General features: G+C 39.6%; 2 protein-coding genes across 9 annotated transcripts in view; one reads left to right on the top strand and one right to left on the bottom strand.

Moving 5' to 3' along the window:
• MTRR (5-methyltetrahydrofolate-homocysteine methyltransferase reductase) overlaps positions 1-16476 on the bottom strand; it is a 50255-nt gene that overhangs the window by 32081 nt on the left and 1698 nt on the right. Inside the window, exons 2-4 of one of the 3 annotated variants that reach the window (XM_047417233.1) lie at positions 12141-12246; positions 7230-7548; positions 6976-7082 (exon numbers count right to left, since the gene is read on the bottom strand). The gene's annotated coding sequence lies outside the window, so the exon portion shown is untranslated. The remainder of the gene's footprint in view (positions 1-6975; positions 7083-7229; positions 7549-12140; positions 12247-16476) is intronic. The other 2 variants (XM_024446064.2, XM_047417234.1) reach the window with 2 other exon arrangements.
• On the top strand, positions 2-9874 carry FASTKD3 (FAST kinase domains 3). 6 transcript variants are annotated; one of them, XM_006714498.2, is made up of 7 exons: positions 2-54; positions 926-2387; positions 3050-3135; positions 6036-6210; positions 7381-7450; positions 7770-7884; positions 9494-9874. In XM_006714498.2, exons 2-7 carry the CDS (start codon positions 950-952, stop codon positions 9596-9598), a joined length of 1989 nt encoding a protein of 662 aa, XP_006714561.1. In that variant the 5' UTR covers positions 2-54; positions 926-949; the 3' UTR covers positions 9599-9874. The 6 variants fall into 6 exon arrangements, 4 of the variants coding, with proteins under 4 accessions (XP_006714561.1, NP_076996.2, XP_047273655.1 ...); NM_024091.4 differs by having other exon boundaries at positions 837-2387; NR_036553.2 differs by lacking the exon at positions 926-2387.

Below are 16476 nucleotides of genomic sequence, written 5' to 3'. Positions count from 1 at the left end.
CACGACGCCCAGGCGCTTCCGCGACCACCCGGAGTGATTGCCCGGCAGAGCGCGGTAGGTGTCAACGCGGGGTCTCCGCGCAGTTGGTCCGGCTGGGTGTCAAAGACCTGGCCGGCTTTCTCCTCAGGCTGCGCCGCCCGGCCCGTGTCTCAGCGCAGGTCCCCGGGGCGCCGAGTTTGGGGGTGCTCGCCCCGCGGGTCCCTTTCATTCCTAGGAAAACGCGCCGCGGGGCCTCCCGTCTGTCTGTCTTGCACACACGTGTTGCCAAATCCCCCCGCACCGTCTTTAGATCTGGACTGGCCGCCCCACCTTCTCCCTTCATTGATCTATGTTTTGCTTTTTCTTTTCCTACCTTGTTTCCATTGACAAAGTAGACCCTTTCCTTCAACACTAACCTTCTCCCGACACCGAGGGGAAACCAACAGCTTAGGGCCTTTCCAGCGCGTTTTTACCCTTGCCTTGCTCTAACCTCGCCTAATTTTGCCCACTTTACCTGTTCTTTGATTTCTATCCAAATGCAATTTCTTCCTTCAACCAACATTTAAGGGCCACCCTTAAGAGCTACATTGCCTGAGTTTGAACCCTAGCTCTGCCACTTAACCACCTGCATAAACTGGGCAAAGTAACTTTGTGCTTCAACTTCTTCCTCGTGTAAAATGATAGTAAAAGTACTGAATCTGTGTAAGTTAATAGAATACCTACAACAGTGTTTAGCAAGTAATAGCGATTGTTATTGTTCAATGTCAGCCACTCTTCTAACTCTAGGATGCAGAGACTTTGCCCCTCTGGTGTTTATATGTTAACCATCCTTTTTTTTTTTTTTTTTTTTTTTCCAGATACTCGTTTGTAGTTTCATAAACATTGATGTTGGGTCAATCATGTTCTCAATGTATTTAACCATGTGTTTTTAAATTTTTTAATTTAGTTATCAAATTGAGAATCTGATGGTATGGCATTAATCACCTTGAGGAAGAACCTTTATCGTTTATCTGATTTTCAGATGCATAGAGCTCTGGCTGCTTTAAAAAATAAACCTCTAAATCATGTTCACAAGGTAGTCAAGGAGCGTCTGTGCCCTTGGTTGTGTTCACGACAACCTGAGCCTTTCGGGGTCAAATTCCATCATGCCCATTGTAAAAAGTTTCATTCGAAAAATGGAAATGACCTTCATCCACTCGGTGGACCAGTGTTCTCTCAAGTATCTGACTGCGACAGGCTTGAACAAAATGTTAAAAATGAGGAGAGTCAGATGTTTTACAGGAGACTGAGCAACTTGACTTCATCAGAAGAAGTGCTAAGTTTTATAAGCACGATGGAAACCCTGCCTGACACTATGGCAGCAGGAGCTTTACAACGAATTTGTGAAGTGGAAAAAAAGGATGGTGATCAAGGGCTGCCAAAAGAAATACTGGAGAATAGCATCTTTCAAGCTTTATGCTTTCAGTTTGAAAAGGAGCCCTCACAGCTGTCAAACACTAGTTTAGTGACTGCTTTGCAAGCTCTGATTCTGTTGCATGTGGATCCTCAAAGTAGCCTGTTGCTGAACCTGGTGGCAGAATGCCAAAATCGTCTCAGAAAAGGTGGCATGGAAGTTCGCAATCTTTGTATTCTTGGGGAAAGTCTGATTACACTGCACAGTTCAGGTTGTGTGACACTAGAACTCATTATAAATCAACTTCAAGGTGAAAAATTGGAAACATTTACCCCGGAGGATATTGTGGCCCTTTATAGAATCTTGCAGGCATGTACTGAAAAAGTGGATGAACACCAAACATTTTTAAATAAGATAAACAACTTTTCCCTATCAATAGTTTCCAACCTGAGTCCTAAATTGATTAGCCAAATGCTCACTGCCCTGGTGGTTCTTGATCAAAGTCAAGCATTTCCTCTGATTATAAAATTGGGCAAATATGTCGTGAGGCATGTCCCACATTTCACTAACGAGGAGCTTAGGAGAGTCTTGGAGGCGTTCATATATTTTGGGCACCATGACACATTTTTTACAAAAGCCCTAGAGCATCGTGTAGCTGCGGTGTGCCTCACGTTGGATCCTGAAGTTGTCTGCAGGGTCATGGAGTACTGCAGTAGAGAACTGATTCTTTCAAAACCCATCCTCAATGCAGTGGCAGAAACTTTTGTTTGCCAAACAGAAAAATTTTCACCTCGTCAGATTTCTGCCTTAATGGAACCATTTGGGAAACTCAATTATTTGCCACCAAATGCCTCTGCTTTATTTAGAAAGCTGGAAAACGTGCTATTCACTCATTTCAATTATTTTCCACCCAAATCATTATTGAAACTTCTTCATTCATGTTCACTTAATGAATGCCATCCAGTCAACTTTCTGGCAAAAATATTCAAGCCTCTTTTCCTTCAACGGCTGCAAGGTGAGTTGGTTATAAATTCTGACAGTTGGAAAAAAGTAACCTTTGAACTGGCAGTGGTTTCAAGTCACATATAAAGGCAATATGTTGCCTTTAGTTTTTCTTCCATAGTGATCCGAAGATGAGACCTGAAGTTAACAGATGCTGGCATAAACACAGTTAAAGCATGCTAGGAAATCATGTAGAGGGAAGAAAGCTGTCTCAGATAAACTGACTTTTGCCTTATCTGAGAAATTGCAGCATTCTTAGGAGATATGGTAATGGCAGTGGAAATAGCCACATTAACATGTTAGAACTTTTGATGAGTGAGCAACTGTATCTTTTTTTTTTTTTTTGAGAGGATGGTATTATTCATCTTAATTCAAGGCCACCCAAATATGTCAAATTTCCGGAACTCCATAGTTAAAGGAAATTTCCACTAATTCTGTGAACATATTTTATCTCTTTTAATTGTATTCTGTAGCTAGGAGCTTGGGTTCTTGGAAGTCAATTTCATTGGTGGCAAGAGGAGGGCATAATTAATTCTAACAAGTTCATTTCATAGTGTCATTTAAAAATAGAATACTTCTGTCTGGAGTGTGTAAATTGATGTTGAATGTTCATGATGTTCTCTCATACATACCTCAATTCAGACGTAACTATGACTGGGATGCTTTCTGTTTCAGGTAAAGAATCTCATTTGGACACATTGAGTCGGGCACAACTGACCCAACTTTTCTTAGCCTCAGTCCTGGAATGCCCTTTCTATAAGGTAAAAGCATGAACTATATGTGGCTTTATTTCCCCATGGGTGCAGTTTCCTTTTAAGTTCCTTTACTTCTGATCTGTCTCAATAACCTGAAAAAGCAGAATTTCATTTACTTGGAGTCAGTTGCCACCAGATAGGCTTTTCTTTGATAAATGGACCCCATTTTTGTGTTCTTGTTCTTGAAGGAACAATTTCCTGCTGTTTAAGATTTCTTAGGAGGTTTTATCAAGTGCTGCAGGCATGTGAGTTACAGTATTTCTCCATTCTCTCTGAAGGTTTTACAGGGTTTTAGTACTAGGTTTACTACTAGGTTTCCCATAGCTGTTTGTTATCAAAGTGTGAATGTCTGGACTGAACAAATACCTAAATTATTTGCAAGTACAGTATATTTTTAAGCCAAGCCAGAAATTTCACTTTTATCTAATAGAGTTTAGTTTATCTAGAGTTCGCTCTTCCCATAAAGACCTATAAAGATTTATCCTATTACCTATCACATTCCTTATGTAGAATCAGAAATAGCACACCAGACTATGACATTCTCTCTCTGCTTCTCTCTACTTGACTCTGAATCATAGTTTAGAGTATCTGATTTTTGAAATAAGGTAATAAGAATGGAAAAATACCCCTTTTTTAAAACAGCTTAGACAGTACTAAGTTATATAAAGATAAATAATAGTTAACCCCGATCTCTTACCATTTCTAAAGGAACAGTATTAAAAGCAGTTTCTACGCCCAAATGTATACAGATACATAAACACTGTCTATTTTTTTTCTCTTTTCAAGGAATGAGACTCACTAATCAAAGTACAATTTGCTTTTATGCGCAGTATATCATGGCCATCCCTCGAGGCCAGTGCATACAGATCACATGCATTCTTTTTAGAAAGGCATGATATTTCATGGTGTTTATTCTACTATTGATGCACTTGGAGGTTTTTGCAACTTTTGTCTCTATCGGGAATGCTATAATAAACATTCTTGCAAATCCTGTCATACTAGAGCCTTTTTGGTTTTTTTCATATATAAACTAGATTCCCAAAAATGTGATTAGTGGATTAATTTTTGATGGATACTGGCAGATTTTTTTTCCCTAATAGTTACAGATGTCACATTTCCCCAGCAATGAATGAAGGTGGCCATGTCTCCTCCACTTCTATTGCAGTGTGTTAGTAGTCTCTTTAATTTGTGTTACTCAACTACATGAAAGAGGATATCATATCATATATTTAAGTTGCATTTTAATGAGCATTAATGAAGTTTAGCATATTTTCAAATATGTGTTGGCCATTTACATTTCTTTTGAATTGCCTTTCTACACCTTAATTTATTTCTGTTGGATGGTTTGTCTTTAAGGACTCATTGTAAAACAGATATTAACTATTATGAATGTTGTACATATTTTCCCGATTTGTACTCTTTTATTACTTTTTAATATTACTTATGATGTATTTTTAAATGTTCTGTAGTCGAATCTGTCTTTTATGACTTCCGAGGTTCCTATCTCAAGAGCATGAATATTTTACATTTTTAAAAATAATATCTTTTAAATTTTATTTAGATCTTTGATCTAAAAGTAAAATTGAATTTTTATTTATGTATTCTAATTAACAAAAATTGTATATACTTATTATGTTCATGTTGTTTTGAAATATGTATACATTGTAGAATGGCTAAATCAAACCAATTAACATGTGTATTACCTCCATATCTATCATTTTATTTTGTGGTAAGAATATTTAAAATGTACTCTTGCCGTGCGCAGTGGCTCATGCCTGTAATCGCAGCACTTTTGGAGGCCAAGGCGGGTGGATCACCTGAGGTCAGGAGTTCGAGACCAGCCTTGCTAACATGGTGAAACCCTGTCTCTACTAAAAATACAAAAAATTAGCCGGGCATGATGGCACACGCCTGTAGTCCCAGCTACTCTGGACTCTGAGTTAGGAGAATCGCTCAACCCAGGAGGCGGAGGTTGCAGTGAGCCGAGGTCGCGTCATTGTACTCCAGCCTGGGCAACAAGAGTGAAACTCTGTCTCAGAAACAAAAACAAAAACAAACAAAAAAAAAGGTAAAAAAGTACTCTCAGCCATTTTCAAGCACGCAATCATTCTTATTAACTATAGTCAGCATGTTGTACACCTGGAATTTATTAGCATCTGTCATGGATGACAGAAGTTTAATTTAGTTATTTTCCAAATAAATAACCATTTTCTCCAGCATCGTTTATTATATTGCTATCCTTTTCTTCCTAAACTGGAATGTCATTTATATCACATTTTCCATTACAGATTGAGTATCCCTTATCCAAAATGCTCAGGACCAGAAGTGTTTCAGCTTTCAGATTTTTTCATATTTTAAAATATTCTCATTATATTTACCAGTTCAGCATCCCTAATTCAAAAATTTGAAATCCAGAATGCTTCATGAGCATTTTCTTTAAGCAGCCTGTCTGTGCTTAAAAGGTTTCGGATTTTGGAGCATTTTGGATTTTGGATTTTCAGATTAGAGAAATTAAACCTGTGTTGAAAACTTTAGTTGTGTGTACTTAAGACCCTTGGGACAATTCTCAGTTCTAAAAATGTTTCTTGAACTGTTAGCATTATTATGTTTCTTCTCACTCTCTCCTCACTCCTTTTTACCTTCCTTCTTTACTTTTCTTTCTGTTTATGGTAACCAGTGACTACTGTAAAAACACATATAAAAGACATTTTGAACTATTAGACTTGCACTGTAAGAAGAGAAGTTTGCATTATCATTTTGAGAGAGATGCCTGTCCCAATTCCTGGAAAAGTATCATGCCTATAAAGTAATGTTATATCAAACTTTTCTACCTAGGTAACCTTCAATTTATTCTCTGTTGTTATATCTTATTTTTCTTTCTCACATTTGCACTTATGATTTTTTAGGGTCCAAAACTCCTTCCTAAATATCAAGTGAAGTCATTTCTTACCCCATGCTGTTCCCTGGAGACCCCTGTGGATTCTCAGCTTTATAGATATGTGAAGATTGGGCTGACTAACCTTTTAGGAGCAAGATTATATTTTGCTCCAAAAGTGTTGACACCCTATTGTTATACAATAGGTAAGTAGTATAAGGAGTTTTGTTGTTTTAAACCTAAGCATCCTGTTCGATTTTGGAGATATATGGGACTTAGAAGCAATAGAAGTTCTCTGGAAATGCAAAATGGAATGGTCCCTTCCCTGAAGGCAAGTTGGGGTTAGCAGCAGAGCCGTTGAGTCAAGACTGTCTGGGTTTAAGTCTCAAATATTAGCCACGTAGTAGCAGAATATCCTGGGCAGAATATTTAACCTTTTTCTGCTTGCTTCTTCCTCTGTAAAATGATAGTAATATTGACCTCAAAGACTTACTTAAGGTCTAAATAAAATAGTACCTGGAACGTAGGAAATGCTCACTAATTGTTAGCTACTACTATAACCTAGGCTTGTACTGTCCAAATATAGTAGCCACTAGACCATGTGGCTATTTAAATTTAAATTATTAAAAGTTTAAGAAAATTCAATTCCTCAGTCACATTGTAAGTGCTCAGTAGCCACATGTGGCTCATGGCTGCCAAATTGGACAGCACCATTATAAAGATTTCCACATCACAGAAATTTCTCCTGGACAGCACTGACAAGAGACTCCAAGTCCTCCGTCCTTACAGTTCTTCTAACTTGATGAGCAGAAGAAAGCCTTCTCGTAAAGGACAGCAGTTCATAGGCTTCAGATGGTCACTTCTCTTCTCTTTACGAAGGGAACTGCAGTTTACCAGAGGGGAAGGACAGTTCGGAAGCCTTCCGTGCTCGCAGACCAGGTGTCTGGGTGTGGCATGCTTTCTTTACTTACCATGGAGGCACTGCAAGTTGGAATGATGGAAGTTATGAGTTGCACAGATGTCTAATGTCTTAACTCAAGGGTTTTCTTCACAGTCTGGATTGAAGGATCTCTGCCACCTATCATAAGGGGAAAGAGAAAGCATGCATGGTTCTTGTCATACCCCAGATAACTTCAGAACCCATTCTGTGGTTTAGCGTTATTGAGCTTTCTTAATTTAAGGCTGACTTGATTGATCATAAAGCCAATTGAATTAAAATTCTCACCATTGTTTGGTTGTGGTCATTACTTTGCAGCCTTCAGTCCAATTGATCAATGCAAGGTGGAAGGAATCAAAGCAAAGCAAAGGAATGAATACAGGAAGATAGTGTTTGTGAGGGTATCACACGAGGAATTTTTCCTTTCTTCTCTCACCAGATGTTGAAATTAAATTAGATGAAGAAGGATTTGTATTGCCATCCACAGCTAATGAAGATATCCATAAAAGGTACAGGAAAATGTTGTGTTTTTCACATTACAAGACTCGTTGAGGCTAATAAGCAGCGGTATCTTTTTCTCAAGAAGGTGAAAAAAATAGATATGATTCTGGAAATTAAAATACTACATTTCAGAATACCATGTTGGGAAATTCCTTGTAATATTTTATAAACATTAATATTAATAAGATCAAATTCATGATTCATTTGAAAATAATATTGGCACATAGTAATAGCCAAATCCCAAATAAACTTTGGCAACTAAAATATATAATAAATATTTTGGATTATTTAAAAAATTAAGTATTTTTCTCCTTTTTTATTTTTCAGGATAGCACTGTGTATTGATGGTCCAAAAAGGTTTTGCTCCAATAGCAAACACTTACTGGGGAAAGAAGCTATTAAACAAAGACACCTACAGTTACTCGGTTATCAAGTTGTTCAGGTACGGTTTCACCTATTTTTTTTGTTTCCCAAAAGCAAATCCTATTTCAAAATTATTTTTCCAGGTTACTTTTAAAAAGTAATCTGAGGCACAGTAAAATTTTAAAGAATTTGATCAGGCAGCAATTATTGAACTGGACAGCACAAAACTCGAAATGGCTTGGGAACCCAAGAGGGAGGCTTTTATAGGAAGAACACAAGTACACAAAGAATCTACTTGACTGGTTACAGTTACATATTCTTGCTGCCTTGTTTGAACTATTCTGTGGAAAGTTCCTAGTTATATAATTATTAGTTTGTGAGATGCTTCTGATTGGTTGAGCTTAAGTTCTGTTTTTCTGTAGTAGAAGCTTCTACAAGAAATAGCCCAAGTTAAATTTTGCTTAACATTTGCACTTTAAGCAAAGTTAAGGTTATTTTCAAGGCCCAACTGGCTTGGTCTGCTCAGGGATTTTTCAGGCACAGGCTCCATTTTAATTTGCTTTTACAGTACTAACTGGTTTGCCAGCCCAGTGGACCACCGATCTTACGTCTAGTTTAAATCCCAACGTTGTTAATTCGGCTTAAATCTCTTGACTTATATTTTGAAATACAGAATTTTCAGAGCTTTGATTTTTCAAAAGTGGGGCCTACCTATATTCATTATAAGCTATGCTTAACCCTGCTTTTAGAATTACTCAATTGTTGGAATATATGTTCTGTTTTAATTTCTCCTTGATTTAATAAATAAAAATGAACAAGATAATCCATTAAAATAAGGAGCTTCACCAACACTTAATATTTAAGACCTTTTAAATATTTCACTGTAGATAATGTAAGAAGGTCTTATGTGAGGGCTCAGCAGTGCGTGAGAATGAGCGCTGCCCTAATTCTCTAAGCTGTCAGTACTAGGCAGCACTGTGGTTTCATATCTGCTGACTTTTTTCTCCATCTTGCACATCCCCAGCTGAATATTCCTAAAACTAATCATGCCAGTGTCTACTCAGAAGCTTCAATGTTTCTTTACTGCTTACAGAATAAAGTAAAAACTTCTCTACATCTTAACATTCAAGACCCTCCAATGGTTGGCCTGCAGCCAGGCTGCAGGCACATGATTACTACCTGGCCCCTCTGCTCCCAGCTGAGCAGACTCTCTCCTTTGCTGCGCCTCCTGCTCTCTCCCTCTTCATTCCCTCTTTGTCCCTGCTGCGTCCTCCAGCTCTCTGAATACCTACCTTCCAGCAGTTTGTCGGCATCCCCACCCTCATCTAATGAAATGCTCACTCCCTCTTAGCACTAGATCACCAACCTACAGCTTGTTTTTTATATTTATTGTGTAATTTAACTTGCCACCCAAGTTGTGAACTCCTGGAGAACAAGAGATCATGTTTAATTCTTATTTGCATATTCTACATATTAATTCATCAAATATTTACCAAGCCCCTTCTCAGTGCCAGGCACTGTTCTAGACATTGGGGATACAGGATGAAGAAGCTGGTTGGGATATTTGCCTTCCAGGAGCTTACATTCCGCTGTGGGGAAGCGTGTAAGAAACAAACAAAGTAACCAATAGCCAGAGGAACCTCAGATTTTGAAGGATCTTGACCAGTTTTACTTTTCTACCTTTACAGATCCCCTATCATGAGATTGGGATGCTAAAATCAAGACGTGAATTGGTGGAATATTTACAAAGAAAACTGTTTTCTCAAAACACTGTTCATTGGTTGCAAGAATGAATACTGACTTCAGAACTCAAACAATGGAAGAACTTGCATTTTTATGGAACTCAGTATTAAAAGAAAAATATAATGTGAATTAGCCACTTTGCAGAATATGTTCTAGACTGGTGATCTGAAAGCATCTGTAGTTTTCCTTATACTATGTATACATTTATTGTGGTAAAATTTAAAATTAATTTTAATTTAATACTAGTGTCATAGATACTTTTTGTACATCAAACAATTGATCATGTGCTGTAAAGGAATTCAATGAATAAATGTTATTTTTAAGTATTTTGTCATAGTTATCTGCTAAATGAAAATATTTTGCTCTTTAGAGACCTTTTGTTTTCTAACAGATGGAGGAAATTTTTTCTCTTTGTGTGCTGTGAGTGGAAGTGAGATTTACCGTAAGGAAAAGGAGCAATGAGAAATAGAGTACAGTGCTTTGGATATAAATATTATAGAATTATGCAGAAACAATCTTCTGGTTAATGAGATATATTAGTATGGAAACTTTTTTTTAATAAATATTTAGAGAAATGGAAAAGCAATTTAGGTAGGTTTTTTGGGGAGCTGTTTGATTGGAGGGAGGATCTTCTAAATTATAAATCAAGAATGAATTAAATTGTCATTAGTTCATTGCAGAGCCTTCATTGCCTCATCACAGTCAGGTTACAGTTTCAAGGAGAAGAGGACAAGAGAGCCGACTGGAGTAGCAGAGTGTATTTTTTGAAGGAGGGAGGAGGGATACAATTGAACCTGTAACAGGTTGAGATGATAATTACATAAAGCACTTAGAAAAGTGCCTTGCACAGAGTAAGCACACAGTGCAAGTTAGCTGGTGTTAGTCTGAACGTCTACCCCATCATGGTTTTTACTTCACTTTAGCTTTTTGGGTCTATTTACTTATCTTTAGAACAGGAAATGGAAACTAGATGAGCTAAGATCATTTTTTGTCTCCAATTACAAAGAAAGAGAGAGGCAATGGAAGCAAATTGAGATTGAGCAGGAGATAAGCACGGTAGATTCTGATGTATCCGGGTACCCAGCTGACCTTGCCGCTCATTTGGGACCTGGCTTGGAAGGATTCTCACAGCTCTCTGAAATCTGGGTAATTAGATGATTTACACTTTTTCACAGCTCTTAGATGACTTAAAACAGGCATTCCTGACACTGAGCCTAAGATCTGTTCCAGATCATATCAGGCCTCAGAAACCCCTTTCACACCTCCTTGCAGCTAATATCCAGTCCTGTGTCTTTTTCTGCCTTTTTAGTGAACTCAGGTTCCCTCCCTGGCCTCTGGTCCACCCTCACTGTGCTGTACACCTCTTCCTATGACTCAGCTAATTTTTGGTGCGAAACTCAACCCAGCAATGTGGTGTGAGGTTAAAAGCATTCAGTTTAAGGAGCAGAAAGGGACTTAACCAATTAAACAGCCACACGAAGAGGTAATGACGGTCTGTTATAAATGCTATGAAGAAAAATACAGCACGAGCGTTCTTCACCTGTGCTGTTGATGTAAGTCCATCTCATCCATTGCAAGCTTTTCCCTGTTTGCTCATCAGAATCAGATGCTCCTCCTTCTGCAGTTTTCACTTACAGCCTCTGCTGATCCTGTCTCATTTGGCTCTCCCCTACCCTCTTCACGTACGCATTCAGCAGACAGTTCTGATCACGCTGGGCACACTCAATGCTCCAGCTCTAGGGCCAAATAGGAAAGAGCCCCTGCCCTTGAGGGGCTTGAAACAGGTGAGATTAGTGAGCAGGCGATGGGAGTGGTGAGGCCTCCGGCACCCTGACACACAGTCAAGGCTCTGGGAACACAGAGACCTCATGCCCACCTGGGCAGTGAGAGAGAGCCTCAGAGTGATTTGTAAGCTGAGTTTTAGAAGGAAGAGAGCAGGGTCTAGGGGCGCAATTGTCAATGGCTGGAACACCCAGTGTAAAGCATACAGGGTTGGCCCAGGGAGGGAGGCTAGACCTGCCTCTGGCCCTGTTCAAATTTTAATCCCGAAGTACATGAAAATAATTTAGGCTAATAGAGAGATATAAGGTTGCTGGTGTCACTAACGAGCAAATTTGACAAGCTTTGTCAAATCATAAAGCTAAGTCCTTTTAAACTGAATTCTCATGCTGATGAATTCATTGGTATGTCTATACCTGTACAAACAAAAGTGATCTGAATGTGTCAGTTGCAATTACATATTCAATATGATGGCTCTTGCAACTATATATTTGATAATATTTTTAATAATTGCATAACCTTTCTATATTTGTTTTCAAAAGTAAAGCAAAGCAAGAAAAATGAATGAAAAAAAATTGTTTTACTTGCTAGCACAACCCCTGCAGCAACAGTGATAGTCTTTGGGCCTATCAATAGGGGGCAGCAAAGTTCAGGACTTTGGGCTGCAGCAGTTGAAACTAGAGGATCTCTGGAGGAGAGAGTGGATCCTCTCTGAGTGTGTGTTGTGAGTGTGTGTGTAGATGGCAGGCAGGCAGGAGCTGTGGAAGAGTGTGGTGACAGTTCTGCCTGAACAACACAGGCAGTCTTCTTTACCTTTCCTTGCCTTCCTCTATGTGAGGAATGTGCGTCGCTTGGGTACATGTGGACACTTGAAAGATATTTGATAGAATTCTGGGAAAACGGAAGCAGTCAGTTCCTCCTAAAAAAAAAATAAATAAAATTAAAAAAAAAAAAAAGTATACCTACCAGAAGATGATGTGCGCAAATCCAGAGAGGGGTCTTGGCTCAGTGAGGAACCAGGCAAATTATCCCCTTAGGGCTGCGATCTCCCAAATTGGGAATGTGCCCACCCCCATTTGGAGTCTAAATACTTAGTGTAGATAGTGAAATGAGACACGTCTTGTAAGCTGTTTAGCCCAATTCCTGGAAAATAGTAAATACTCAGTGAACATTGGGTGCAATTATTGTTATTGGTACACGTGTGTTCCTTCATTCTCAGTTAAACTTTATCGTACAGCTCGCGGTGAAGGGTCATGTAAGGAATGGTCTGTAAGAAGGAACATGGCTAACTTGCTGGTCAGGACTTCTAGGGGTGCCACTGTGAGCCTTTGACAACTGCCTTTGTTAATTATCATCAAGGACATAGTGCTAAGAAACTTTGTTCTCTAAAGCCTTTGTTGTTTGAAATCAGAGCAATAAAATGGAACATCTAACTGTTGTCTATATGAGCTGAGCCACATGGGCCAATCTGACCAATGGAGAAGTAGCTTCAATATCCCCCTCAATTGCAGAGCTCTAGACGTGGGAATTTTGCATACAACGTTCCACATTTCTTTTCCCTTTGAGGGACCTGAATCGGCTTCTTAGGTCAGGGTTACTGTTAACTCTTTGGCACACTAACTTGCTGTGCTTGAGTCTCTCCAGCTCAGCTTCATTAAATTTTACCTAAATTCACCCCTCCCCAAATCCTACAACAGCCCTGTCTAGTCCTATGTTTGACTCGATGTCTCTAGGCTCCTGTGGTGTGCAGTCTCCCCTGCTGCACGAGTCAGGAAACCTGCCTTCATGTTGATGTTCTCCCCCTGTTGGGCTCCATCAAAAGAAATTTTGCCTTCATCCAGTACTTGTAATCCCATCCCAGAAAAAGCAAACATCTCCCTCCCACTCCCACAGTCTCCGATACAGAGTGCTCACAGTGTGTGGGTGGAGTTGATATTTTGGGTTCTAATGTTTACAAGAAACAATCTTAATAACCCTACTGTTTTTGCTTGTATTACAGGAAATTTTGAACACACATAAGAATTGAAAGAAAAGTATAAGAATTGAAAGAAAAGCTGGCTCAGTGGCTCATGTTGTATTCCCAGTGCTTTGGGAGGCCACGGCAGGAGGATTACTTGAGGCCAGGAGCTATGATCACGCCACTGCTCTCCAGCCTGAGTGGCAGAGCAAAACCCCATCTCTAAAAAAAAAAGTATAAGTTTGCAAGTTCCTCTATTCAGCATGAAAATTACCATAATTTTCCAATCATGTTTCATCTATTCTTTAACTTTTTCTTTTTTTTTTTTCCACTGGAATGTTTCTAGAGAAATCCAAGCTATCATATTATTTTATCCTAAATACTTCAGTATTCATCTATAATTGATAAGCTTTTTTTCTTTTTTTATCTAATCATTCAGCCATTGTTACAAATAACAAAATTAGTTATTATTCCCTGTCATCATTTAATGTGTAGTCTATATTCTAAATTTCCTGTACTATCTCAAAAATATTTTTTAACTGTTGATGTTTTTGAATCAGGATCCAAAGTCCACGTATGACTTTTAGAGATTCTACCACTGAAGTCTCTTATGTCTCTAACTGCTACTCTTTCTCACGTAGTTTTCATGTCATTAAGTTATTGGAGAAATTAGATCAATTGCCCTGTAGAATGTCCCACACTGTTGATTTGGTGTTGTCTAACTTGTTTCTATATCTATCTGCTGCATTTCCTATTAAACCAAAGGGCAGATCCAGAGACTTGCTTCAATTTGGCTTGAATGCCTTGGGAATGATGCCAGAATATAAAAGCAGGCAGAAGAAGGTGAAAGACTAGACTGGCTTAGCCTCCCAGCCTACCTCTTTCTCCCGTGCTAGATGCTTCCTGCCCTTGAACATCAAACTCCAAGTTCTTCAGCTCTGGGACTCAGACTGGCCTCCTTGCTCCTCAGCTTGCAGGTGGCCGATTGTAGGACTGATATGGTTTGGCTCTACGTCCCGACCCAAATCTCCATAATTCTCATGTGTTGTGGGAGAGACCCGGAGGGAGATAGCTTGAATCATGGGGGTGGTTCCCCCATATTCTCGTGGTAGGGAATAAGTCTCATGAGATCTGATAGTTTTATCAGGGGTTTCCGCTTTTGCATCTTCCTCATTTTCTCTTGCCGCCACCATGTAAGGAGTGCCTTTCATCTCCTGCCATGATTCTGAGGCCTCCCTAGCCATGTGGAACTCTAAGTCCAATTAAACCTCTTTTCATCCCAGTCTTGGGTATGTCTTTATCAGCAGAGTGAAAACGAACTAATACAGGGAACTTGTGATCACGTGAGTTAATACTCCTTAATAAACTCCCATATAAAAAAATATATATAATATATATCTTTACATAGATATATATATACATCCTATTAGTTCTGTCCCTTGAGGGAACCCTCACTAATACACTATGTTTAACCCAGCCCCAGTGTGTGTCCTTACTCTATTAATTTGCCTCCTTTGAGAGGAGGGTTTTTATGCTTCTTTCATCCTCCCCTTCTCCGGCACAGAACTTTTGAGTACGAGTACAGACATGAGGAGCCTAAATGTATGACTCTGTGACCTTGTATTCCACTCATGTACCTGGGAATATATAATAAGATCATATAGGAAAATACTTTTTTAAAAAGAGTATTTTTAAAAAAGGAACTAAAGCCTCTTAATAATCAAAATTGCCAAAGTCTGCCTTGCCCATGGTTTCATCTGTCTCTGGTAACCTGCCCTGCATCCTCAGGGCCTCACATCTCATTCCACCCTCATCTCTGGTGGACCATTCCGTGGGGCTATGACTCACCTCATGAAAGAAGCATCTCACCTCCAGTACATGCCCCTGTCTTTTGCTGTCAGCCCTAGGGCTCCTCGGACACCAAGGAGGCAAGACACTCCAGGGGAGACTGTGAGGCCCTGGGGCAGTGGTCGTACAAGTTCAGGAGTCAACAACTGAAGGAGCGAGCCTCCACCGAGCAGACAGGAGCAAGTGATGAAACATGCCTCCATGTTGATCCTCTGGGGCAATTCTTCAAGGCCTCTCCAGGCCCCTCAGAAAGGTTCATGACCATTCACCAGTTGCCTTCAGCAGTGACCTGGGTAGTGCATCCTTGGTGTCTCTCCTGCTTCTTGCTCCTCTTGGTCCCTCTCTCCTGTTCCCTGGAATTACCTCCCAAATAAACTCAGGCCCTTGTCTCAGACTCAAATATTTGACTTCCTACTGTATGCCTGTATGCCTGACTTGAGCCATCTGTATAAGTTTGTTCTCATGCTGCTATAAAGAAATACCTGAGACTGGGTAATTCATAAAGGAAAGAGTTTTAATTGTCTCACAGTTCAGTATGGCTGGGGTGGCCTCAGGAAACTTACAATCACGGCAGAAAGCAAAGGGGAAGCAAGGCACCTTCTTCACAAGGTGGCAGGAAGGAGAAGCACTGAACAAAAGGGGAGGAGCCCCTTATAAAACCATCAGATCCTGTGAGAATTCACTATCACAAGAACAGCATGGGGGAAATGGCCCCCAGGATTCAATTATCTCCACTTGGTCACTCCTTTGACATGTGGGGATTATGGGGATTACAATTCAAGATGAGATTAAGGTGGGGACACAAAGCCTAACCATATCTCCATCCAAGAAGAAAAAGATGTAGGTAGCCTTGCCCTCAAGAGCTCTTGGTCTAGGACATGACAAAATGTCACCGACTGAACTGAAGTTAGCAGATTCACATCTGTATAACTGTGTAAACTTTACTAATTTCTTTTACTAAGAAATTATCTCGGTCTCAGTTTTAGCTGAATTCCCAAGATAATTGGTTTCAAGTACTTTCACTTTCCAAAGTATGATACTGGGTCACCAATGCAAAGCTTACAAAATCTTGTGACCATTAGTTGACCTCTCTTGTGTATTTGGAGACATTGAGAGAAGTTGAGAGAGGCAGTAGATTATAAGGGCTTAAAAAAAAAAAACATATTTGGCTGCTGCTTTAATGAGGCCAAAAAAGCAAAAAAGTATGAGTCATGCCTTTCATGACTTCAGCCCATGGGAGAAAAATAAGAGCCCCTTTTCCTTTGCTTCACATGTAGGAGAGATGGTGCTCCATCTCCAAGCACCAGGGATATGTCACCCTCTCCAAGTGGCTCCAATGAGGTT

Source organism: Homo sapiens, chromosome 5 (genome assembly GCF_000001405.40).
Source record: "Homo sapiens chromosome 5, GRCh38.p14 Primary Assembly".
NCBI classification, from domain to species: Eukaryota; Metazoa; Chordata; class Mammalia; order Primates; family Hominidae; genus Homo; species Homo sapiens.
The sequence above is the reverse complement of the archived record's forward strand: the minus strand, read 5'-3'. Positions and strand labels throughout refer to the sequence as shown.

Bases quoted from the DNA above. Each gene is read 5' to 3' on its own strand.
- FASTKD3 (XM_006714498.2), top strand. From the start codon at position 950: ATGGCATTAATCACCTTGAGGAAGAACCTTTATCGTTTATCTGATTTT. The intron at 2,388-3,049 runs GTGAGTTGGTTA...TTTCTGTTTCAG, and splicing joins TTTCCTTCAACGGCTGCAAG to GTAAAGAATCTCATTTGGAC. The intron at 6,211-7,380 runs GTAAGTAGTATA...TTCTCTCACCAG, and splicing joins ACCCTATTGTTATACAATAG to ATGTTGAAATTAAATTAGAT.